General features: G+C 43.7%; 1 protein-coding gene and 1 long non-coding RNA gene across 6 annotated transcripts in view; one reads left to right on the top strand and one right to left on the bottom strand.

The window, feature by feature from the left end:
• The window catches only part of LOC101929256 (uncharacterized), a 62244-nt gene that overhangs the window by 1839 nt on the left and 33240 nt on the right, over positions 1-27165 (bottom strand). For 2 of the 4 annotated variants that reach the window (XR_001747404.3, XR_001747407.1), the window contains exons 2-3: positions 10341-10456; positions 7357-8595 (exon numbers count right to left, since the gene is read on the bottom strand). This is a non-coding gene — a long non-coding RNA (uncharacterized LOC101929256). Of the gene's footprint in view, positions 1-7356; positions 8596-10340; positions 10457-15284; positions 15383-27165 lie in introns of those variants that run through there. The other 2 variants (XR_001747406.1, XR_001747405.2) reach the window with 2 other exon arrangements.
• Positions 3749-27165, top strand: part of JCAD (junctional cadherin 5 associated) — a 102692-nt gene continuing 79275 nt past the window's right edge. For both annotated transcript variants that reach the window (NM_001350021.2, NM_001350022.2), the window contains exon 1: positions 3749-3876. The gene's annotated coding sequence lies outside the window, so the exon portion shown is untranslated. The remainder of the gene's footprint in view (positions 3877-27165) is intronic.

Raw genomic sequence — 27165 nt, 5'->3', positions numbered from 1 at the left:
TGCCACCATGTCTCCCATTGGTGGGACTCAAGTGGAAACCACAACACAGTCTACAATACCCAAGGAGCAGGGCCAGCCCACTGCCGGTCCCCAATGCCATGACACAAGGCAAAGAGGAAGAGAGTGAAGAATAAGCCCAAAGGCAAAGGAGCCAGGCATTAGTACAAAATCACATTGACAAATATTCATTCAAAACTGCATCAAGGCCAGAAAGACAAATCCTGAGAGTTGGTCAAGAAAGCAAAAAGAAACTATACAGTTTTGTTTTCAGTACCTGTATCAACCATACACATTTACATCCTTAGTTGCAAATGATACCACTAGCTTGTTGGAGAAAAAAAAACGTTCATCAAAGGGTATCACTAGGTCACAGAAATTCTGGGAGACCAGAGGCAGGCATGGGAACTGCACAACCAGGAGCACTAAACAAGTGACACACTGAGTCCCCTGTGGCCACAGAGGTGGGGCCAGGCAGACACCAAACAGGACACCAGACTGGCCCTTTCTGAGACCAGCCAGAGAGTTGTGTCCCCCTGCCAGATGGCACTGGCCTCCCATAGCATAGATTCGCTCCCTTTTCTGCCTCCTCCTGGTTCTTACTAGTTGAGTCTCTTGCAGTGCCCCTGCTGTGCGGCCTGTAGCACTTGCCTGCACCCCAGCTGCAAATAAAGCTGGAAAAGAGAGTCCTGGCTTCTACTGTGGGGAAGGGGAACGCAATGGCGGACGTCCAAGTTTACCAAAGGGAAATCGTTCACCAGATGTGAGGTGGCCATATGTGTGATAACTGTGCAATTTTTGTTCACTACAGAATGTTCCCAAGTTTGCCACAAAGTGACCATGAAAATGGATATGAATAAGGGGGGTAATGTCACTCACTGAAATAATGGCACAATGCTAATGACAACACCACTTGCCATGCCCGGGCTGGGTCCTTTCATGCCCTGGGCCTGATGGGGACAAATCTGCATCCCGTGGCCATGTGATCGCTTTGTCTTCTGAGGGTGTCACATCAGAGAACCCAGGCTACTACCAAGCCTTAGAGTTCGTTATTATAGAAGGGAACTCAGGGGACACCCAGCCTCCTTCCCACCAAACACGACCCTCTTCAGAGTCTCCTGACAACTCTAGCTGTTAGAAAGATCCTTTTCCTAACTGCAGTTGATGCGTATTTCTGCAATGAGGCTCTTCTTTCTGAAATTCAAAATTCAATGAGTGACTGCCAAAAGAATGCATAAAAGTCAGCTCCACCCAGGGGCAAGAGTTAGAAGGATAAGTCCAGGTTCATCCCTGAGGAAGACCATTTTAGGAACCTCGTCTTCAGAGACCATCAGGCAACCCTTTTATTCACCACCCTTGAGATTACATTCTGGTGGAGTAAGACTGATTGAGTTATTTTTGTCATAACCGTTAATAGAGTATCCCCTCTATGTCTTTGACTGTTTTAGATTCTAGGGATAAAAAGATGAATAAGACGTGGTGTTTGCTCTCAGCAAGCCCACAGTGTAGTAAGAAAGGCAAAGACAAAAATAGATAATGGGGGTGTAACTAAGGTAAGAACTACAAAAAGAGAATTAGCAAAATATGATAAGAGAGGCTGAAGGAAGAAGCTGAGAAGATCCATAGAGAGCTTGAAAGACAAGGTACCCTTGGGAATGACAAGGAGGAGGCCCTGACAGGGCTCCAAGGCTTCTATATGAGAGACCAGTTGAGAGACAGCCATGTTGAGTTCTTAGAGGTGAGGTCAGGTACACTGTGTCTATCCATCAGTGTGGCTATGCAGGAATGGGAGTACCTGTGTAAAAGACTTTCTCTGATGAGTGAATAAGAAAATTGGAGACTTAAGGCCTGAATATGGGTTGGTGGTGTAAGTAGATGTTCTCTCCATAGTATGATCTTTAGGAATTATTGAAAAAAAAAAACCTGCTTATTCCTTTCTTCCACCCATTTAAAAATAAAAATCATGCAAAACAAAACAAAAAACCCTCTGTAGCAGAAATTTTTCTATGAAGAACCAGTTAACAAATAGTTCGGGCCTTGCTGGGCCTCACAGTCTCTGCCGCATCTATTCCACGCTGCTGCTGTCATGCAGAAGCAGCCAGATACAGTGTGTAAATGAGTGTGTGGTTGTAGACCAATAAAACTTTATTGACAAAAATAGTCAGTGGGCTGCCTTTGGCCCAAGAGCCATGGTTGGCCAACTCTTTTTTTTTTTTTTTTTTTTTGAGACAGTTTCACTCTTGTCGCCCAGGCTGGAGTGCAAAAGTGTGATCTTGGCTCATGGCAACCTCTGCCCTCCAGGTTCAAGCGATTCTCCTGCCTCAGCCTCCCGAGTAGCTGGGATTACAGGCCCCCGCCACCATGCCCAGCTACTTTTTTTGTATTTTTAGTAGAGACGGGGTTTCACCATGTTGGTCAGGCTGGTATCAGACTCCTGACCTCAGGTGATCCCCCCTCCTCAGCCTCCTAAAGTGCTGGGATTACAGGCATGAGCCACCACAACTGGCTGGCCAACTCTTGATCTACAGAATCAAATTTGCAAACCATCGCCTACCACTTTGTTTGCCAGCTCTTTTCTAAGTGCACATTTTGAATTTGTGTGTGTAGGTAGGATGGAAAGAGTCCTCTGTGGGAGGGCATAGGGCGACTCTGGAAGAGAAGTGATGGGCAGAATGAAGAGGTCCCACTGAGCTGTGTGAAGAAAAGGATCTGCTACCAGAGAGAAGGACAGGCCCACTCATTCCTCCTTGAGGAGTGCCTCCTGGCCGCTTGTCCTGCTGTCTAACCGTGGCTCCAAACTGACTGGTTGCATCTTGGCCAACTGCTCCTAGGCAGGGCTGCATTTCGTCCCCGAGGTGACAGTGCACATGATAATTTATATTTTGGTGCAAAAGCACCTCAAGCTCCTTTGAGATAAAAGACTCTATATAAAACTGAGTTATGACCCTGCTTAATAGGAGCACTGTTGCCTTTTTCCAAAAGTGGAGTTAAACCCCTCTGGCATCTGCAAAGGGCTGGCTGTAAAGGATCGTTGGCCCTTTCAGCCGCCCTCATTTTTGCTGTTGATTCTGTGTGCCATAAATCATTCTCTTCCAAGTCCAAAGGCGGCATTTGTATTTGCCAAAATACTAAGGAGGAGGATCTCCAACTGGTTGAAGCTGAGGTTGGATCTTTGCTTTTTAAGTTGTGTGGGAGGTGGGGAGCACGCGTGCGTGCTCACACACACACACACACACACATTAATCCTCCCTTAATAACATTCCAGAATAGCTATTCCCTTACCCTACAACTTCCTATGGATTCTCATGACACTGGTTTTGTTTTTGCACAAAAGATTTGACTTGGTCAGTCACACTCCTTTGTTATTTTGTACTTTTAACCCCCTTTCTCTGTGGAGAAAGGCTACCACGAGAAAGGTAACTTTCTCTTGTCCAAAGCCCAGGACCACATAGGCTCGGTACCAAGCTTCTTTTGGGACAGTATTTGACAGGGCATACCAACACGTCTTTTTTTAGAAAAGACCATAAGTGTCTTATCTTACTCCTTCGGAATTTTCCGCAGTTATTTAATCTCTAGTTTAGGAAAAGTTGGTTTGAGGGTTCTTCAAATCTCCTCGAACCTCTTACATCAGATCTGTGAGCTTGATTCACTTGAGGTGGATGGGGGCTGTGTTTGCCAGCATACCTCATTTCCATCTCTCCTCCCTACTGACTAGAAACCTTGTGGTTAAAATAACACACAGCCTCTATTCAGAGCTCAAACTTAGAGCTGCTATCGGAGGAGGATTTTAGATTTAGGAAATTCTCAGCAGAGCATCCGAGGGGCTTTTGAAAAATTCAATTCTTTAGACGCTCATGAAGAAATCAGGGATTTCCTCAGGTAAATATTTTCTTCCCTTTTCCATTGTTTTGTTGAAAGGATGATTAAGAAAATAGGGCCGGTAATCACTGAAAAACGGCAGCTGCTTTCTAGCTTTGTGCTGGTGAACAGGGCTTGTGACAGTTTCTCTGAAAGGGGAATAAAGTGATAAAACAAGGATCTCCTGGAGAGAGAGCTGCAGAATCAATTCTCTGTTTGTGGAGAAAGCGCTGGGTGTTTGAGAAAGAGAGATGCTTCGTTGGAGTCGCCGCATCGCATTTGGTTGTATATAGATTACAAAGGTAGAAAACAGTCGGTTGGTCTTATTCACTGTCTGGGGCAGTGGCTCTGAGGTTGGTCACGTGACCAGCTCATACAGAAGCGGTTCCCAGCACTATCTTAGCATCATATGTTCTTATTGAATAAAACTAAACTGGTTCTCCTTCCTTGTGGCTGCTCTTCAAGTAATCAGGTGCCACTGTTTTTATCTGTTTATATTTCTATCTATCTATCATCTATTATGTATCTATCATCTATCTATCTATCTATCTATCTATCTATTCGGCTTTAAAATTTTTGTGAAATACAGTTCTATTATCTCATATTTTCATATTTTTTAAACTCATGACTTTCTAAGTGATACATCATTAGAGACTTGTCTTAAATCTAGCGCAAAATGTGTTAACATTTTCTTCAAATACCAGTAACTATGGTCTCCTGAACTAAAAGAACAGTTCATTTACAGAATGAGTCATTTTTCTGAAAAACCTGCCACCACACCTCCTGGTTTTTTTTTTTTTTTTTTTTTTAATTGTGCTGTTTTGTGTTTTTTGGCAAACATCTGTGCCTATGAAAGCTTTCAATATATCTCATTGTGGCTGGACCAGGTATTTTCTAGTTTGCCAATCCATAACTCTCCTGAGACATTATTATTTGTCCTTTGCAGTTGCATTTGAAGAAAATTTCCTACCTACTTGATGATAAAGCCAAATCAATCAATCAGTTGTCAGTCAAACATTTATTCATGTGCATTATATATGCTCTGCATCAAATAGTTACCAGGGTTGGGGGAAGACAGTTTCAAAGAAGATAAATATCACCCTTGGTGTTTATCCTGTATCTCCCACCCACATTTATCAAATAATTACAAAACATTATCAACAGCACAAAATGAAGTGCCAAATTTCAAGCTTCAGATTACGGGTGAGGTTGAAGTGGCCATAGAGCTACCATTCAGGAGAGCCCATTGTGCACGGGGAACTAAGTCAACCACTTTGCGATCATCTTATTTTATTCTCTCAATAGCCCTTATTTTACATATGAAGAAAGAGAAACTTACAGAGGGGGCTAAGTGCCCAGTGTCATAATGCTGACGAGTCGTAGACACAATGCTCAAATCTTTAATGCACCCAACCTTTACGAGGCTGAGGCTGGAGAATCATTTGAGGATAGGAGATCAAGACCATCCTGGGCAACATAGCAAGATCCATCTATTAAAAAAATTATTTTTAAAGGAAAATGCACCTAAGAAGAAGTGGTCCCTGGGCAGGGTGCCAAAGGGTGTTCAAGTATTCAAATGGCCAGGAGGAGCAGTGTGCAGGTGAGGAACAGGTTGGAAGGGTCCAGGGTGTCTGGGAGACAGTGCAACAGTGCATGCCCTGATGAGAGGTAAAAAGGAAGTGCTAGGTGAAGAGAGGTGGAGGGAGGTGGGCCCAGAAGTCGCCCTATGAGGAGGGTGGAGCCAGGTTCTGATGAATGCTGCTCTGAGCCATCTGTCTGTTTTGTGCTTCCTTCTTCTCTGCTGGGAGGCTTTTTTTTTTTTTTTTTTTTTTTTTTTTTGACAGTGTCTCGCTCTGTCGCCCAGGCTGGAGTGCAGTGGCACGATCTTGGCTCATTGCAACCTCCACCTACTGGGTTCAAGCGATTCTCCTCCCTCAGCCTCCCAAGTAGCTGGGATTACAGGCGCCTGCCACCACGCCCGGTTGATTTTTGTATTTTTAGTAGAGACAGGGTTTCACCATTTTGGCCAGGCTGGTCTTGAACTCCTGACCTCAGGTGATCCACTGGCTTTGGCCTCCCAGAGTGCTGGGATTACAGGCATGAGCCACTGCACCCGGCTCTGGGAGGCTTTTTGCGTACCTCACCGAGGTTTCATATCCTCCCGCATCAGGTCTTTGCCCAAATCTCCACTCATTTGTGAGGCTTTCTTTGACCCTCCTATTCAAAGAGAACCCCATGACCACCTTCATTGACTCTCCTTAAAAATTGTGACAAAATACATATAATATATAATTTACCATTTTAACCATTTGTAAAGTGTACAGTGCAGTGATATTTCATACTGTACATTCACGATGTCATGCAACCATTGCCACTGTCTAGATCTAGAGCATTTCATCACCCAGAAAGGAAACCCTCTGCCCATTAAGCAGTCACGCCCCATTATCCTCTTTCCCAAGCTCCAGGGAACCCCTGAGCTGCATTTCATCTCTATGGATTTTTTTTTTTTTTTTTTTGAGATGGAGTCTCGCTCTTTTGCCCAGGCTGGAGTTCAGTGGTACAATCTTGGCTCACTGCAACCTCTGCCTCCCGGGTTCAAGCAATTCTCCTGTCTCAGCTTCCTGAGTAGCTGGGATTACAGGCATGTGCCACCACGCCTGGCTAATTTTTTTATTTTTAATAGAGATGGGGTTTCATCATGTTGGCCAGGCTGGTCTCGATCTCCTGACTTCAGGTGATCCACCCATGTCGGCTTCCAAAAGTGCTAGGATTACAGGCATGAGCCACCGTGCCCAGTCTGGATATTTCATATAAATGAAATCATACATTATGTGACTTTTTGTGTCTGGCTTATTTCACTTAGCATTGTAATTTTTTTCGTTTGTTTAAATTTAATTTTTCTAAAGAGACAGGGTCTCACTGTGTTGCTGAAGCTGGAGTGCAGTGGCACAATCATAGCTCCCTGCAGGCAGCTTTGAACTCCTAGGCTCAATCGATCTTCCTGTCTCAGTCTCCTGAGTAGCTTGGATGACAGGTGCATGCTGTTGTACCCAGCTAATTTTTTTTTTAAATTTTTTGTAGAGACAGGGTCTCATTTTGTTGCCCAGGCTGGTCTTGAACTCCTGGCTTCAAGTGATCCTCCTACATCAGCCTCCCAAAGTGCTGGGATTATAGGTGTGAGCCACTGCTCCCAGCCCAGCATCATATTCTTAATGTTTGTCCATGAGGTAGCCTGCATCGGTCCTCCATTCTGTTCTACGGCTGAATGATAGTCCATTGTGTGTATATATCACATTTTGTTTATGCTTTATCAGTTCATGGTGATTTGAGTTGTTTCCACCTTTCAGTCATTGTGAATAGTGCTGCCATGAGCATGGGTGGACAAGTTTTCACTTAAACCCATATTTTCAGCTCTTTGGGGGCATCTACCTGGGAGTGGAATTGCTGGATCATATGGTGAGTCTATGTTTAACTTTTTGAGGAACTGCCAAACTATTTTCCACAGCAGCTGCACTATTTCACATTCCCACCAGCACTGTAGGAAGGTTCCAATTTCTCCACATTCTTGCCAAAAGTTATTTTCCGGTTATTTTTATGATCGCCATCCTACTGGGTGTGAAGTGTGAGCTCACTGTGGATTTGAATCACATTTCCCTCATGACTAATGACACGGAGCCTCTTTTTATTTGTTTGTTGGCCATTTGTCCAGTCATTCACTTTGTATTTCCTTTATCTGGCTTTATTTTTCTTTATACATAGCTTTATGATTTATCATGTCATGTCACATCACATTTTTACTTATTTAAATGAATAAATAAAATGTAACGTATCTCCTCCTAGGACTATGAAAGCCTCATGAAGACAGAGATTCTGTCTACTATTGCATCTCAGTACTTAGGACTGTGTTCATCACTGTGGGAACTCAATATGTATTTGCAGAATAATTGAAGAGCAAATTATGGTTATTCCCCAGCCCTGGGCCTAAGGTCTCTCCAATCTTCAGATGGGTCAATGGTGGGACAGGATTGCTTGAGGCCAGGAGTTAGAGACCAGTCTGGGCAACATAGCAAGACCCCATCTCTAAAAAAAATTTTTTTGAAGAAAATGCACCCAAGAAGAAGTAACCCCTGGGCTGGGTCCCGAAGGGCTGTCAGGCACTCAAATGGCCAGGAGGAACAGTGTACAGGTGAGGAACAGGGTGGAAGGTCCAGAGTGAGTGGAGAGCCACAGCTGGTCCAAACATCAGCAGGCCCATACATCAGGGGTCCATACATCAACCAGTCCATATATCAGGTCGGGGGTAGAGGCATACATCAGCATGTTCACCCATTAGCTGGTCTATACATCAGGGGTCTATACATCAGCTGCCCCATACATCAGTTAGTCCATACCTAAGTGGGTGCATACATTAGCTGGTCCATACATCAGGGGGTCCATACATCAACCAGTCCATATATCAGGTTGGGAGAGAGGCATACATCAGGATGTTCACACATCAGCTGGTCTATACATTGGGGTCTATACATCAGCTGGCCCATATATCTGTTAGTGCATACCTGAGTGGGTGCATACATCAGCTGGTCCATACATCAGTGGGTCCATACATCAACTGGTCCATATATTGGTGGGTCACTCATCAGGAGGTTCACACATCAGTGGTCTATATACCAGGGGTCCATACATCAGCTGCTCCATATATCAGGGGTCCATACATCACCTGGCCCATACATCAGCTGGTTCCTATATCAGAGGAGGCATACATCAGGAGGTTCACACATCAGCTGGTCCATACATCAGTGCGTCCATATGTCAACTGGCCTATACATCAGCGGGTCCATACATCAGCTGTCCTATACATCAGGGAGTCCATACATCAGCTAGTCCATATATCGGGGAGGGCATACATCAGGAGGTTCACACATCAGCTGGTCCATACATCAGGGGTCCATACACCAACAGGTCCATACATTAGCCGGTCCATACACCAGCTGGTCCACACATCAGCTGGTCTATACATCAGCTGGCTCATATATCAGGGAGTCCATACATCATCTGGTCCATGCATCAGTGAGCCAATACATCAATGAGTCCATACATCAGCTGGTCTATACATCAGCTGGCCCATACCTCAGGGGTCCATACATCAGGAGGTTCACACATCAGCTGGACCATACATCAATGGTCCATACATCAGCAGGTCCATACATCAGCGGGTCCATACATCAGCTGCACACATCAGCTGGTCTATACATCAGCGGGGAGTCTATACATCATCTGGTCGATACATAAGTGAGTCCATACATCCATGGGTTTATACATCAATTGGTCCATATATTGGGGGGTCATATATCAGGAGCTTCACACATCAGTGGTCCATACATACATCAGGGGTCCATATATCAGCTGGCCCATATATCAGGGGGTCCATACATGAGCTGGTCCATACACAGGGGGGTCTACATATCAGCTGGTCCATATATCAACTGGTCCATACATCTGCTGGTCTCTAGATCAGCTAGTTCATAAACCAGGGGGTCCACACATCAGCTGGTCCATACATCAGGTGGTTCATACATCAGCAGGTCCATACATCAAGGGGCCCATATATCAAGAAGTCCATATATCAGGGAGTCCATACATCGGGGGCCTATACCATATTATTTATCCTCCCCACATCCCGCCGATGCTGCCATGGCAAATCATAGTATCCTTCCACCATCCACCCAACCCTTGGATTGTGGGGATGGAGGCTGGAGCAGCAAAACAATTATTTGGATAATCAAGGTTTGAGATAGTGAGAACCAGAACTCAGAAGCCACAAGGAGAGCAGAGTGACAGGGACAGACAGGAGAGAGACACGGAAGGAAAAAAAAGCAACAAGATTGGGTGACTGGCTGGTTGAAACAACAGGGGCTTGAGCTGAAGACAGGGCCACAGGCATCCATCAAAGATAACTTCAAGTTTTGAACTTGGAAGTCTGGGGAAATGGTGGCACCATTAACTAGATAGGGACATTAGGAGTAGGAAAAAGGGAAGGCTTGCTTTCTATTTGAGAAGAAAACAAGAGAGTGAAAGGTCCTTAATGAACCAAGCCTAGACATGCATTTCAGAGAGTCTGTGATGATGCCCCTGGTACAGGCAGCCTCAAGAATCTACTGTGGCTTCTTTGTCCCATCAAGGCCAATTCCGCTCCGCCAATCGTAGTCTCCCTGCTTGGTTGAGAAGTGGACAGAATGGCCTCAATGCACACAGACAGATTATCAAGATAACCAAGCATGGGGGCTGGGGAGGGGCAGCCTGAGGACGAGGGAAGATGCTGGGTGCCAGGGCGTGCAGCGGAGAGCAGCTCTGTGGCCCTCTGTCTCCAACTCAGGCTCCCGTTGTTTCAACCAGCAAGTTGGGCCAAGGACTCCAAGCTCCACCTCCTACAGATTCAGGACAGAGAAAAGTCTACTCTTTAAATGTTCACTGTGCAACATACTTACAAAAACTTGCCAAAAGCATGTGAGAGCTACTTTTTCCTTTTTTTTTTTTTTAATCTTGAGCACGTAGAAGGGGCCCTTATATTTCACAGGGATTTTCTCTTCCATGGGTGTGTAGGCTGAAATGTAAGTTTACGAAGAAGGCATTTGTTAGCTAGGCTGGAGAATTCTGACTTAAAGAAGAAGCATGTAGTGGCTGAAATCTCCTCCCACGGACTTAGTGAAAACTCTAGTGAGGGGATGATCACTGCCATCATTTCTTTCTGGCTTTGGATACTGCCAGGCTGCTCATGTGTGACAACTAAATGTTGGGATATCTTCAATGAATGAACAATGAACAATGAACGATGGGATATCTTCTCCTTATAAGCCCCTCACTCTGAGTGTGTACTGTGGTTCTGTTCCTGCAATCTTTCTGATAAAATTCTCGTCGCCCCATTGCAAAGCAGTGTTCCCAAACTCAAGGCTATGTGGATGCCTATCCCTCTGCAATTCTGAGCTTGAATAAAGAGAAAGCCTTGGAGAGCCAAGTTCACTTTCCTGACACCATGACAACCACCCCTGATAACGCCATCACTCTTTTTTTTTTTTTTAATATGGAGTTTCGCTCTTGTCACCCAGGTTGGAGCATAATGGCATGATCTCAGCTCACTGCAACCTCCACCTCCCAGGTTCAAGTGATTCTCCTGCCTCAGCTTCCCAAGTAGCTGGGATTACAGGTGTGCACCACCACGCCCGGCTAATTTTGTATTTTTAGTAGAGACGGGGTTTCACCATGTTGGCCAGGCGGGTCTCAAACTCATGACCTCAAGTGATCCACCTGCCTGGGCCTCCCAAAGTGCCGGGATTACAGGAGTGAGCCACCGCACCCGGCCACCATCATTCTTAAGATAGGGCTCCTGACATATTTCTGGAACATAACCTACTGACTAAGGTATCCTAGACAGAAAAGGGGCATTCCAGGATAGGGGTGCATATTTTATTAGACACTATGGCCATTTTTTTTTAAGTTTTAAGGTAGCTGTTCTTTAGGCAATTGAAAAGGAAGTAAGTTTCATCTTAATTCTGAAATGATGGGGCTTCAGGATTGACTTCCTTGGATAATGTGTTTTCCGATTTCATTCAATCATGCATTAATTTAGATACCTCATCATGTTACTTGAAAGGGGTCCCAATCCAGACCCCAAGAGAGGGTTCTTGGACCTCATGCAAGGAAGACTTCAGGGCGAGTCCATAGAGTAAAGTGAAAGCAAGTTTATTAAAGAAGTAAAGAAACAAAAGAATGGCTACTTCATAGGCAGAGCAGTGGCGACGGCTGCTCAACTGATTGTACTTATCGTTACCTCTTGATTATTTGCTAAACAAAGGGTGGATTATTCATGAGTTTTCCAGGAAAGGGGTGGGCAATTTCCAGAACTGAAGTGTCCTCCCCTTTTTAGATCATATAGGGTAACTTCTGGATATTGCCATTGCATCTGAAAACTGTCATGGCACTGGTGGGAGTGTCTTCTAGCATGCCAATGCAGTATAATTAGCATATAATGAGCAGCAAGGATGACGAGAGATCCCTTTCATCGCCATCTTGGTTTTGGCGGGTTCTGGCTAGCTTCTTTACCTCATGCTGTTTTATCAGCAAGGTCTTTGTGACCTGTATCATGTGACCTCCTATCTCATCCTGTGACTTACAGTGCCTAACCTACTGGAAATGCAGCCGAGTAGGTCCCAGCCTTATTTTACCTAGCCCCTATTCAAGATGGAGTCGCTCTGGTTTAAACATCTCTGACAATCAAATGAGTATTTGTGTAAGCCCACTGAAAACTCATCAACAGTCCCATGGGGAGGGATGTGCAAGGCTCTGTCCCAATTCTCCAGTGTTAATAAAGAATCAGGACTGCCATGGGACAGTAAGTGACAACAGAAGAGAAATGCACAGAAAGCAGTGCTGTGAGGACAGGCATGCAGGGCTGCCTGCACCCAGCCGTGGTCTCCCTACATTTGAGCTGGCAGCCTTCTTCTTGGCATGCCCAGCCAGGAGGATAATAATTGAGAAATCAAATGGGGAAATGGGCACTTTGCAAGGCATTTAAGCTCAAAGAACTACAACGGGCCAGGCATGGTGGCTCACTCCTGTAATCCCAGCACTTTAGGAGGCTGAGGTGGGCAGATCACCTGAGGTCAGGAGTTCAAGACCAGCCTGGCCAACATGGTGAAACTCTGTCTCTACTAAAAATACAAAAATTAGCTGGGCATAGTAGCATGCACCTGTAACCCCAGCTACTCAGGAGGCTGAGGCAGCAGAATCGCTTGAACCCAGGAGGCAGAGGTTGCGGTAAGCCGAGATAGTGCCACTGCACTCCAGCCTGGGTGACAAAGCACTACAACGTTCATCCAAACTAATCTTCTGTGCTACTCTAGGCTTCACAGTGACAAAGTTCTACAGGGACACATCTGCCTTTTTGCGTTGTACTTTTTTTTTTTTTAAGAGACAAGGTATTGCTCTGTTGCCCAGTGCAGTGGTGCCATCATAACTCACTGCAGTCTCCAACTCCTGGGCTCAAGCAATCCTCCTGTCTTAGCCTCCCAAGTAGCAGGGACTACAGGCACACACCATCATGCCCAGTTAATTTTTTATATTTTTTATTTTTTGTAGAGATGGGGTCTTGCTGTGTTGCCCAGACTGATCTTGAACTCCCGGCATCAAGTGATCCTCCCATCTCAGCATCCCAAAGTGCTGGGATTACAGGTGTGAGCCAATGCCCCCAGCCTGCATCTCTTTAAAATAATAAATGATGTCTAAAGCATAATCTATAACCGTGGTTCTATGGCTCTGGAATTGTGAAGGAACAAATATTGGTTGGGGTCTTAGTACTTGAAGATATTTTATCCTGAAGGGAGTGCTGTGTTCCTTCCTAGACGTGATCACTAGGAAATAAATGCTTGGAAGAGTTAGCAGAGTTACATTAATGCTGGGTCTTAACCAATTCAGAATATAGGATGCAAAATCACCATTTTAGATCTTTACACATAAATTGTAAAATCAGCTTTTGATGTTTTACACTTATCAAAAGCAGTCGTGTCAATTAATGTCAATGCTAATTTATCATAGCAGATGATAAAAAATAACACATTGGCAGTAGGCTTTGACAAGCATTATGTGAATTATTTTACAATAGCCTTATTTTTCTGATTCTTAATTTTCTGAAACTAATATGAAAATTATGTTGCATTATTTCAGTACATGCAAACAAAAACTGAGGATTTGGACTAGAAAATAGGCAGAAAGGGTTGGGTTTGTGGTTCACACCTGTAATTCCAGCACTTTGGGAGGCCGAGGCAGATGAATCATCTGAGGTCAGGAGTTCGAGACCAGGCTGGCCAACATGGTGAAACCGTGTCTCTACTAAAAATACAAAAATTAGCTGGGTGTGGTGGCACGTGTCTGTAATCCCAGCTACTCGGGAGGCTGAGGCAGGAGGATCACTTGAACCCAGGAAGCAGAGGTTGCAGTGAGCAAGAGAGCAATACTCCATCTCAAAAAAAAAAAAAAGAAAGAAAGAAAAGAAAACAGACAGAGAGAAAGGAGCCCCTTAGGGATTGAATGTCACAGTTGCAAGGCTGGTGACAGCACAGTCAATCTCTGCCTTTGTCTTCTTTTCATCTTTTTAGATATCTGCCATTATAGGGATGTTGAAAAATTATTTTCACCTCTCTCATGCATACCTGTCTCAAAGAAATCATTGCCAACTGGATTTAGTAATACAGGGCAGGACAGCAGCTCAGTGAAGAGGGTGCATTTAGGAATAAAAGTGACCTAGATGTTCCTACAACCTGCCTCTTTCTAGCAAGTAACTCAAGCTTTCAAACTCATTTCCTGATCTGTAAAGTAAAAATAATAAAAGCTCCTAGCCTGCAGGAATGTTGTGACAATTAAGTGAGCTAATGTATGCAAAGCTCTTAGCACATTCAATCAATGCTAACTATTATTATCACAGGTAACATGTGAATAACAGAATTGAGCTACCATTTTTCAGCCAACCCCCAACCCTCCGCTCTTCTCTCTTCTCTAAGTTTAATTGTAAAACACAGTTCATTTAAAAAACAAACAAACAAACAAACAAACAAAAACAAAAAACTTTTGACAAGCATATGTTTTTAATTTTCAAATAATTTCAACTTTTTTTATTTTAGATTCAGGGGCTACATATGCACAGGTTTGTTACATGGGTGTATTGTGGGATGCTGAGGTTTGGGGTGTGGATGGTCCCATCACCCAAGTAGTGAGCATAGTACCCAACAGGTAGCTGTTCAACCCTTGCCCTCCTCCCTGGACGCTCTAGTGGTCCCCAGTGTGTCTATTGTTCCTATGTTTATGTCCACGAGCACTCAATGTTTAGCTCCCACTTATAAGTGAAAACATATTTGGTTTTCTGTTCTTGCATTAGTTTGTTTAGGACAATGACCTTCCGCTGCATCCATGTGGTTGCAAAGGATGTGATTTCATTCTTTCTTATGGCTGCATAGTGTTCCATGGTGTATATGTACCACATTTTCTTTATCAATCCACTGTTGATGGGCACCTAGGTTGATTCCATGTATAAACCACAGCTCTAATAAAGTTACTCTTCTGCTCAAAAACCTGCTACTGAATCAAATCCAAACTCCCTTAACACAGCATGTAAAGCCCCTTGTGAAATTGCTTCACTCTCCCTCCCACCTGCAACCCTCTCAGGACTTACGCTCCACGACCTCTGAAATCATTTTCCTTTTCCTGAATGAGCCACATGCCCCCAGGCCTCTGTAAGTTAACTTCTCAGTTTCCTCTTTCTAGGAACTTTTTCCTCCCTCTCTGCCTTCAGGCTAGTTCCAACCAGAACTATTCAAACTAGAGTTCAATTCTTTTGGTGTATCCCCATGATACTTTCTTTGTGCCTTTGCCATAGCACTTACCACTCTCCCATTGAACTGCATTTCCTGTGTTATATGGCAAAATTAAAATAATACAAAAAATTAGCCAAGCGTGATGGTGCATGCCTGTAATCCCAGCTACTCGGGAGGCTGAGGTAGGAGAATCGCTTGAACCCAGGAGGCGGAGGTTGCAGTGAGCCAAGATTGCGTCATTGCACTCCAGCTTGGGCAACAACACAAAACTCTGTCCAAAAAAAAAAAAAAAAAGAAAAATTGACTCACTAACTGTTTATTATCAGTAGGTTATTATAGTAGCAATAGAGAAAGGGCTTATTTGGGATCAAAAGAACTGGCTGTGAGTGTGTGTGGGTGTGTGTGTGTGTGTGTATTTATACATAAATATACAGGCATTTCCTCATTTACTTTAATATTTGAACAGGTATTTTCTTATCTATTTTAACATCAATTTTAACATTTAACATTTATTTTAACATTTGACATACAACGTTTGAAGTTCCTTCCAACTCTTAAGTGTATGAATCTGAATTATTTGCCTTTATCTCCTTACATACATCTTTAAATATTATGGCAAAAGAACAACCAGGATTGCCGGATCATATGATAATTCTACTTTTAATTTTTGAGGAACAACCGTACTGTTTTTTGGTAGTCCTATTTTTGGGTATATATCTCAAAGAATTGAAGTCAAGATCTTGAAGTGATAGCTTTACTCCCATGTTCACTGAAGCACTATTCACAATAGCTAAGATACAGAAACAACCTAAATGTCCCTCAGGAGATGAATGGGCAAGGAAAATGTGGTCTATGCACACAGTGGAATATTACCCAGCATTAAAAAAGGCGAAAATCTTGCCATATGCAACAATATGAACTGGGAGGATGTTATGCTAAGAGAAATCAGTCATATGGTTTGGCTGTGTCCCCACCCAAACCTCATCTTCAATTGTAGGTCCCATAGTTCCCATGTGTCATGGGAGGGACCTGGTAAGAGGTAATTGAATCATGGGGGTGGGTCTTTTCCATGCTGCTGTCAAGATAGTGAATAAGTCTCATGAGGTCTGATGGTTTCATAAAGGGGAGTTCCCCTGCACATGCCCTCTTGCCTGCTGCCATGTAAGACGTGACTTTGCTCTTCATTTGCCTTCTGCCACGATTATGAGGCCTCCCCAGCCATGTGGAACTGTGAGTCCATTAAATCTCTTTCCTTTATAAATTATCCAGTCTTGGGTATGTGTTTATTAGCAGTGTGAGAACAAACTAATACAATAAGCCAGGCACCGAAGGGCAAATACTGTATGATTCTGCTTATATAAGGAATCTAAAATAGTCAAACTCATAGAAGCAGAGAGTAGCATGGTGGTTGGCAGGGTTTGGGGTAGAAAGCGGAAGGTGTTGTTTAACAGGTATAAATGTTCAGTTTTGCAAGATGAGTAAGTTCTAGAGATCTGCTGTGCAACATTATGCCTATAAGTTAATATTGTAATGTGCACTTAAAAATGTAAGAGGGTAGACTGGGTGCAGTGGCTCACGCCTGTAATCCCAGCACTTTGGGAGGCTGAGGCAGATGAATCATCTGAGGTCAGGAGTTTGAGACCAGGCCGGCCAGCATGGTGAACCCTCTCTCTACTAAAAATACAAAAATTAGCCGGACATGGTGGTAAGCACCCACTGTGATCCCAGCTAATTGGGAGGCTGAGGCAGGAGAATTGCTTGAACCCAGGAGGTGGAGGTTGCAGTAAGCCAAGATCATACCACTGCACTCCAGCCTGGGCGACAGAGCAAGAGTTTGTCTCAAAAAAAGAAAAAACATTAAGAAGGTATGTTAAGATCTTACGTAAAGTGTTCTTACCACAATAAAATAATAATAAAAATCATAACCAGGATTCTGTCGTCTAGAGCCACAGAAAATTGACTAGGTGGGAGATGAGTTGTGGAGTGGTCTGAAGGGTAGAGTACTAGCTTACCCTCTGGCCCTCACTGACATTTCCCAGGCAAAGACCACACTGGCATCTGCTCATTACTTCAGTCCCACCCCTGAGGTCAGAAGGTTGAAGCTTTCCTGTTCTTCATTGCAACACTGTACATGTATGTTAGAACCTTGCCCACAGTAGACACCATGCAAATGTCTCTAAGTGAATGAGTGGATAATCTCCCCTTTCACTGAAACACAGCAAAGTGAAGATAAGATTTCTTAAGATGTTTATGACAGGATTTTATGCTTAAAAGACTATGAACCAAAAATAAAATTCCAAGCCCCCCAACCACCTGAATGGACCCCTCCTCTCAGCCACAGGCATTCTAAAGTTAGCCTGAGCCGGGCGTGGTGGCTCAGGCCTGTAATCCCAGCACTTTGGGAGGCCAAGGCAGGTGGATCACTTGAGGTCATGAGTTCAAGACCAGCCTGGCCAACATAGTGAGACCCTGTCTCTAACAAAAAATTAATAATAATAAAATAAATAAATAAGTTAGCCTGAAAAACTAGTTTCATGCCATGATAGGAAAGGAGGGTCAGACATGCCTCATGACACCCTCCTCCCTTTTGGAATTACTAATAAAACAGACTCTTTTTTTGAGACTGAGTCTCGCTCTGTCACCCAGGCTGGAGTGCAGTGGTGTGATCCCAGCTCACTGCAACCTCCACCTCCCAGTTTCAAGAAATTCTCCTGCTTCAGCCTCCCGAGTAGCTGGGATTACAGGAATGGGCCACCACGCCCAGCTATATTTTTTGTATTTTTAGTAGAGACAGGGTTTTGCCATATTGGCCAGGCTGGTCTCAAACTCCTGACCTTGTGATCCACCTGCCTTGGCCTCCCAAAGTGCTGGATTACAGGCATGAGCCATCGCACCCAACCAGAACAGACTCTTTAAATCTGATAAGAAACATTTATAATCTATTCTCTCTGAAGCTTGCTACCTGAAGGCTTCCTCTGCATGATAAAACCTTGATCTCCATAACTCGTTATCTTAACCCAGACATTCCTTTTTATTGATAATAACTCTTTCAACCAATTGCCAGTTAGAAAATCTTTGAATCTGCCTGACTTGGAAGTCCCACTTCCAGTTATCCCACTTCTCTGGCTGAACCAATGAACATCTTACAAGTATTGACTGATGTCTCATGTCTCCCTAATATGTATAAAACCAAGCTGCACCCTGACTACCTTGGGCACATGTTCTCAGGATCTCCTGAGGGCTGTGTCAGGGGCCATTGGTCACTCATATTAGTCCTAATTACCCTCTCTAAATCCAATCAAGTCATTATGCCTCAGGCTTTGTTTAAGAATAAAGTAGAATAGGCCAGGGTCGGGTGGCTCACACCTGTAATCCCAGCACTTTGGGAGGCCGAGGTGGGCAGATCACCTGAGGTTCGGAGTTCGAGACCAGCGTGGCCAACTTGGTGAAACCCCATCGGTACTACAAATACCAAAAAATTAGCTGGGTGTGGTGGTGGGTGCCTGTAATACCAGCTACTTGGGAGGCTGAGGCAGGAGAATTGCTTGAACCCAGGAGGCGGAGGTTGCAGTGAACCGAGATCGCGTCACTGCACTCCAGCCTGGGCGACAGAGTGAGATCTGTCTCAAACAACAACAACTACAACAAAAACCCTCAAACAAAACAAGAACAACAAAAAGAATAATTCAGAATAAATAAATCTCTTCAAATATTTTAGAGTTCGACTCTTTGTTAACAAAACAGAGTCATAATTTCCACCAAGAATATCAACCCTTCTCTATGTTATAAATAAAGTTTCAGTGCCGTAAAAGAAATAGCACTTGAATGTAAAATTTTATTTTTAATTCTCAGCAAGGCAAGCTACTTCTATAGAAGGGTGCGCCTTTACAGATGGAGCAATGGTGAGCAGCACACTTGGACAAGGGAGGGGAAGGGGTTCTTATCCCTGACACACATGGCCCCTGCTGCTGTGTCCTTCCCCTGTTGGCCAGGGTTAGACCGCACAGGCTAAACTAATTCCGATTGGCTAATTTAAAGAGAGTGACTGGGTGAGTGGTTTGGTGGGAGAAATGGTTATGCAGGATGGAGAATGAGTCAGGGCAGAGCAGGTAGCAGGTAATCGGAATGAGTTAGAGTGGAGCCGGTAATCGCAATGAGTCAGGGTGGAGCAAGTGATTGAAATGAGTCAGGGTGGAGGAGGTAATCGAAAAAGGTTACTTTACGAGGAAGTTAAGTTTACAAGTAGAAGACAAAGAATTGAACATATACTGACATATTGATTCTTTGAAAAGAAATTTAGAACTCATATCTAACATCTGTTTTAGTATAAATTCAGATTTTTTCATTGTATATGGCATTTGGCATAAAGATTATTTGTAGATCCTGTCATTATTTAAAATTATATTATATATATTCATATGTTTATTATACCCCTTCCTGTTAAATATAATCTCCATGAGGACAGGGATTTTTTTTTCATCTTATTATTCATGCTGTTTCCCTAGCACAGTGCCTGGAACATAATAAGTGCTTCACAAACACTTACTAAAGAGGAGAGTTATTTATATCAAGAAATTGGTACTAAATAAAGTCTATTAGAAAGAGAAAATTATTTAACTAGATAAGAAACTCATTCTAAAGAAAACAAAGTCTGAGGCATAATGACTTGATTGGATTTAGGGAGGGTAATTAGGACTAATGGGAGTTTTACCCCTGATTCTTTAGGAATGAGACAGAAAATGAGAAGTTAGGAATAAATCCCCTGAAGGCTTTGGAAATAATTAACTGAGATCTTTCTTTTGCAATGATGTCTTATGTTTCAAAGATGAGGTGTAAGATGAGTTGGGATTATGTTTACGTTTCATTTTCCCCACTTTTAAATAATTTTCTTTAAAAGAGAATAAGAAATAGATTCACAGTTTAGAGAAAGTCTATGGAAAAAATAATAGAAAAATCCTGGGTGAAGGATAAACTACGAATTTCAAAAGATAATGCAGCTATCTAAGTAATAGACACCTAAGTAATTGGTAGCAAGTAAATAAGGAGCTCAGAGGCTATCAGATAAACCAAGTGAAGGAAACTGAAAAAACCAAGGCGAGTACATTGCCAAGAAAAGAACCACAGATGTGATTCAGCTTGCAACATGAGCTCCAAAGGTTTAAAAAAAATCAGGAAGTTTTTGGGGGACGATGTAGTAAGTGGAGCAAACAAAGGAGAAGTGGGTGGAATTTTAAGGTTGAAGATTTCATGATAATAAGTTATTGGACAGTAAGAACTTTGGAATGGCACTCAAAGAGAATATGAGTCATCCTAAAGCTTAAAGAGATTTTTTAGGAAGATGTGAAAGTGTTAGGGATTGGAGGACACTTGTCATGTCGAAAATCTTAGAAATAAACTGGAGTTCATTCATTCTTTCATTTTGCATTTATTGAGCACAATCCAGGAACTGAGGACACAAAAGCAAATGAATCAGGCCAAACACCATCCCAGCTTTCTTGGAGTTTACAGATGAATAAATCAGTTCATCTCACTGATGCACGAGTATATTCAAGTAGGTATTTGCTGGGAAGAAATGCAGGGCGAAGAGTGACTAACAAAGAAACCAGGCCTAGATGTGGTGGGGATGGGTTGGGGATTCAGGGGGCCTTCCAAGGAACACACTTGAGCTGAGATCTGAGGGTGCCTAGGAGCCAGCTGGGGGAGAAACAGGGGTAGCATGGAAGAAACCTTCTAGATAGAAGTCCTGTGGAGGAAGGATCACGGCACCTTCAGGAAGCAGAAGGACGATCAGCCTAGCTAGAGAACAAAGAGTCAGGAGAAGTCATATAAACTGAGGCAGGAGCTGTGGGCAAAGCTACTTTAGGCAGACCCGAGGGTCGCAGGAGTTATTTCTCCCAAGAACAAAAGGACATCACAAGGTGCTATTAGGGAGGGACTGAGACGTGACCAGCAGCTGGACTCTCCAGATAACCAAAACTCACCCATTTGGCAGCAATACCGTCCATATTTTACCACCTTTGATGGCCAGAAGTCTGGATTAGGGTTGCTCATTTTCCCTCTATCCCTTCCTGGAGCCTCTGTGGTTGAACTCTTGACGTTTCCTTGATGACTTTGAGGTATAAAGGCTGCTTATCCTTGGGCTCAGGAATCCCAGGCTGTTTTTCTCCTTTGAGTCTTGTTTCCTTTTCAAACTTTTTCATTTCTGGAGGGTGCTGCCATTGTACCCGTGTCTCTTTTCTTTCCTTTATTTATTTATTTATTTTTTGAGACGGAGTTTCCATCTGTCGCCCAGGCTGGAGTGCAGTGGGGCAATCTCGGCTCACTGCAAACCTGCGACTTCCGCCTCCTGGGTTCAAGCAATTCTCCTGTCTTAGTCTCTCGAGTAGCTGGGACTACAGGCCCACTACAGTGCACCACTACGCCTGGCTAATTTTGTATTTTTAGTAGATGCAGGGTTTCACCATGTTGGTCAGGCTAGTCTTGAACTCCTGACTCAGGTATCTGCCTACCTCAACCTCTCAAAGTGCTGGGATTATAGGCATGAGCCACTGCACCAGGCCCTGCGTCTCTTTTCTAATTGGATGCATCTGATATGCTGTAGGATGAAAAATAGAAAACTCAATGAATTGGCTTCCTTTGAGCTTTAGAGTGTGGGCTTTATGGTGCCTTGGGGGCCTTTGACATTTCCTCCTTTGTCCCACTAATACCCCAGGCTGCAGGGGGCTTAGAGTAAGCACCAGCTGGTATCTGTGCTGCTCAATACGGTGGCCACTAGCCACATGTGGCTATTTAATTTTAATTATTTAAAATTAAATAAAGTTAAAATTCAGCCCTTAGTTATGCTAGCTGCACGTGGCCAGTGCCCACCATATTAGACAGTGCAGATTTGGTTTGAGCATTTCTATTGCTGTAGGAAGTGCCATGGGCAGTACAGTCTTAGAGTACTGTGGATAGGATGGTCTACATTATTGTCATTGATGCTGTTGAGCATCATTTGACAGCAACTCCAGGCATGCTCCAAATACAGAACTGGATGTGGCCTTTCTTATTCTGCTAAGCTTACAAAAATACATCCTGTAACTTATTCCTTTCAGAATTGTTATAATTACTGTAATGCTATTGAAGAAATGCTCAGAGATCTATTTCCAGCAGAGAAATGGACTCGAAGCTAATTAAAATTCTACATTTGCTCACTGGAAAATTTGAGCTCTTGCTGGATTCACCTTCCCACACTGTCTCCAAATAGAATACAAGTCACACACGTGTCGTGCAGCCTTAATCTATTTGAGACATTCCATGACGCCACCTGAGCCTTCATCAATTTATACTTCAACCTCAGGAGAAGGGGTACATTCAGGGACCTGAGATGTTGGCACAAACAGATGCTCATTAAAAAAAAAAAAAAAATCCCAGCTCATTGAACTGATGAGCTAGTTATCCTATGTTCTGAACTCAGAATAGCAAATAAGAAGATACAGATCGAAGATACTTCAGCTGAATGTTATATAAAAGTCATGTCAAGGTGTGATGAATAATGCATTAGTGATTCCTTGATTTTCATTATGTGCCAGCTTGAGAATGTGATTCCTGCCTAGAGATTTCCATAATAATAACAATAGTAATAGCATTTTTGCATTACCACTGATCCCTGTAGCAACTCTGCAAGGTAGGTAGCATTTTCCACATCTTACAGACGAGGAAACTGAGGCTCAGGGCAGTGGGGTTGGTGGTGCAGCAGGAGTTGAGCTCCAGGCTGATTTGGTGGGGCCGCCCATCATCAGTGTTGGTCTGCAATACACATGCCTCTGTCCCCAGCACCTGGGGCGGTGGGGCAGGTGAGTCAGGAAGACAGAGAGGCAGGGTTACAGAGAAGACCTCAATGGCCCAGGCTGATGGCATCTTTCCTGGCAGCTTCTCCACACACTGGCCCCTCTGATGGCTGTGTGGATCCTGTGGACTGAACCTTGACTTTTACTGACAATAAAACAAAAAAAGCAAAATACTGCATTTTTTCCCTAGCTTGTGGTCAGTGGACTTAACATGCCACAAGCTTCAAAGAGAAGTTCCGCCTTACTGAAAAACAAATGAGCAAATAGAAACACACAAAGAACCCCTGCAAAAAGTCTCTGGGATGAATAGGAACAGCCTGTCACTTACTAATGTGGTCATTTTTTATATTACCACTGCTCCAGGAGTGAAGTACTGTCTATGGCAAGGCTGGGCTTATAGAAGGCTCTAAGGCTTCCCCTCTGGGGAACTCAGCTGCTAACCTCATCAATATCTCCTGAGCATCTCTCATGAGCCAGGCACTCACGATTCTAAGATGAGCGAGACACAGCCCTTGACCATGAGGAGCTTGTGATCAGGACTGGGAGTTCCACAGGTGAGCAAATAATTAAAACATAGCAGGATAAATGTTCCAATACTCAGATACATGAAGTGCAAATGAGAAAAGAACAAAATGCACAATTCCAGCCCCAAATTCAAAGTCAGAGCAGGTCGAACGGGGAGGCAAGCTCAGCAATGGGATAAGATGAAAAGTGGGCTGTAGGTTGTTGGGTGGAGCTGAGAAAATACCTCCAAGGCACCTGGGACACTGGTGCCCATTGTTGAGGCCACAGGGCCATTGCAAGGCTGGCCCAGGAATTAATTTAGAACAATAGGTTAAAAAGCCATGACTCATTCCCCCAGGGGTAGAATCAATTTTAATGATCAGTAAATATCTATCAACAAAACTGAAAGAGAAGTGAAGAAATGGGTCAGGGTTCAGAAAATAACGTTAAGAGACGAGAGCCATGAACTTGTCCATCATGGGCAAAATTGGGAACTGCAAGTTCTATGCAGGAAAGAAAAATAGAGGCATGAACCAGGGAAGGACCCAGAGTTCTAGGGCACAGAGAATAAACATAAAGTTCGTCCAAGGGCCAGAGGGATGCTAAGGAAAAGGATGAGGTGACCAAAGGGACTCAGAACTACACCCTAGCTGGAGGTGCACCGGCCAAGATCCACCCCGGGCTGAAATCTGAATCACTGGGTCCAACAACCTACTCAGACAATTAATAAAACTAATTTCTGGTGAGAACTAGATGTCCTCCTTTGCACTCCCAAATGGGGGACTTGGTGTGCTTGTTTCAGAGAGAGTGTAGGAGGAGGAAAAGAAGGGAAATGACTCCACATCTCAGCGAGATCAGGGAGACAGATATTCGGGAGGAGGTGGGAGAATGAAAATGACTGGGAACAGGTGGGCTAAATCGGTGAGGTGTGTGGGGAAGAAGCTAAGTTAGGAGTGGGCGGCTGGTTTTTCCAAAGGCAAAGATGGTGTCTTAGTTGGGAGCAGGAAGAGAACTGATTTCTTTCCATAAGGCTGCCATGCAGTCTCCTCCAGACTGCATAAGGGAAAATGCAGGTAGAAGTAGCACTCGTCTGCTTTCAACAAAAGATGAATATTGCATGCACTGTGGCAGCAGCCCCACGGCACCTGGGAGGCTTTGTTCCTTTGTATCTCCCATATTTCATAACAGCCCTCTGTAAGCAGTTTTTTGTTGTTTTGTTTTTGTTGTGGTTTTTGTTTTTGTTTTGAGATGGAGTCTGTCTCTGTCACCCAGGCTGGAGTGCAATGGCATGATCTTGGCTCACCACAACCTCCCGCCTCCCGGGATCGTGGGATTTTCCTGCCTCAGCCTCCGAGTAGCTGGAACTACAGGCACCCACCACTATGCCTGGCTAATTTTTGTATTTTTTTTTTTTTAGTAGAGACAGGGTTTTACCATTTTGGCCAGGTTGGTCTCGAACTCCTGACCTCAAGTGATCTGCCTGTCTTGGCCTCCCAAAGTGCTGGAATTATAGGCATGAACCACTGTGCCCAGTCTGCTGTTGATGAACTTTCATCTTGACTTAACAAAGCAATGACAATGCAGGGAGGCAAGTTCCTAATGATTTCCCTTTATCAACCCCCAAAGAGAATCACACTCTTTTCCTTCCTGCGGCATCAACCATCTCATAGTTAAGTCCTCATGAGCCGAGCAAAGTGTTATGTAACAAAGACAGAATCCCATGAAGGCCCCAACCTCTTTAGAACAAGATATGCAAGCTTTCAGGAGAGGACCCAATTAGTGTGGGCAATAGTCAGTCATCCAATATTCTATACAAGCAAGAAGTTTGGCGTTTAATTTGGAGACTCTTGCAAAAGGACTTGGATCTGCAAATACTTACTGAATCTCTGAGCTAGACTCTATCCCCGGGATTCCCGTGACTCTCTTGCAAAAGGACTTGGATCTGCAAATACTTGCTGAATCTCTGAGCTAGACTCTATCCCCGGGATTCCCGTGGCTTTAGTGGTGCCAACCAGAGTTAAGTCCTGAGGATCAGAGTGTGGCTCTGATAATAAAAAAGAGCCACATGCGGGGGGCTAGAGCTCAGGACATATTTGGCAGGATCTCAGGAACAGAAGGCACCAAGCAATCCTATAAGAGACTCATCATTAATGCAGCGAGCCAGCAAGCCTCTTTCTCAGTTTGTTCTGCAGTCCTGCAGGGGGCCAGCTGTGAGTCTTATGTCTGTCTCGTACCTCTCCACAGGCAGCTTATGTGCACTGAAATGCCAGTTTCAAATTATCCAAACTGATGTGGGTGCCCAGATGTGAACACTATCTTGTAAGCAACACGAATATGTGGACACCAAAAGTTATCATAGAATGAGTATGCCATTGGGATTTCCATGGAAAAACCAGGAGATTGCGGGTTTTATCAACATTTAAACCACACCCAGTGTGAATCAATTCCCTTGCTTATGGCTAAAGGTAGATTCCTTCCCTGGCATGGTCTCAGTATCTACCTCAAGAACACAGCTCTTTCCCATCTCAAAGTTAGAAAACACATTGGTAGACTCAATATCTAGAACCTTAGTGTATCTGCAAATTTTGAATTCCTTCCATAGTCTATTCTATTCTTTTTTTCCAATTGTTTATTGTGGTAAATCCATTATTTTAAAATTTATCCCAAAGCTCTATTTTCTGGCTAAAACCCATGGCCTACTTAGAGCATTCTGCCGTCTTTTCACTTTCAGAATAAGCATAATTTATTTAGGGATCTTTTACTGCCACAGAATATTCTATTTTTCCATAACACCCCTCCAGAGGTACCAAGCAGAAAAACAGTGAATCCTGAGTTGGAGATGCTAAGCAGTAAGCGAGGTTCCTTCACTAGCTAAATGATTCACTCTCACCCTCAAACATTGCTCTTGTACCATTCTAGTCCATGCTCCGGTGGAAGTACAAATTATTACATGTCACAGGTTTGGGGGGTTGTTCAAAGATAGTCAAAGCTGGGAACGTTAAAGCTCCCAATGCCAAGCATCCAACGTGCTGGCTGGGTGCTGTTATTCATCCTGCCCACAGGAAGGAGAAAGCTTCTTTGTGGAAGACTCTAAGCGACTCATCGTGTGGGCTGCCTGACATAAAACGCTGGGCTTGTGCTCCGTGGTGAGATTCTCTCTTGCCCGCTGTTTCCCAGGTTTGGTAAACTAAAAACAACGCATTGGCCTGCTAGCTTCTGTTCGGAGGGCTTGGGAACTAGATGGGAGAGTGGGAGTGGTTGTGATGGTTTTGACAACTATAGAATTTCCCAGCTACTTTGCTTTGTCTACCAGCATAAGCCAGGAGGAGCTGGAGTTACACACCAACATGAGAATATTTGTCCTCAGTCCTTCCTGCCACTTATCACCTTCCCTGGGTCCCGGTGCACAGCGACTCACTGGACAAACTCCTCCCCTTCCTCTGCTTTCTCGGCCATTCTCCTTTCTCCTTCCAGAGGATCCCTAGTGTCGTAGAAAATCTACTCTTTGTTTTTAGACCTAAAGTAGATAAACTTTAAAGAACTTCTTGCAAAGAGTTAAAATGTTTTTTATATATATATATATATATATATATATAAAGTAACTTTATATATATATA

This window comes from Homo sapiens, chromosome 10, assembly GCF_000001405.40.
Source record: "Homo sapiens chromosome 10, GRCh38.p14 Primary Assembly".
NCBI classification, from domain to species: Eukaryota; Metazoa; Chordata; class Mammalia; order Primates; family Hominidae; genus Homo; species Homo sapiens.
Note: the sequence above shows the minus strand (reverse complement) of the source record. Positions and strands in the feature narration are given on the sequence as shown.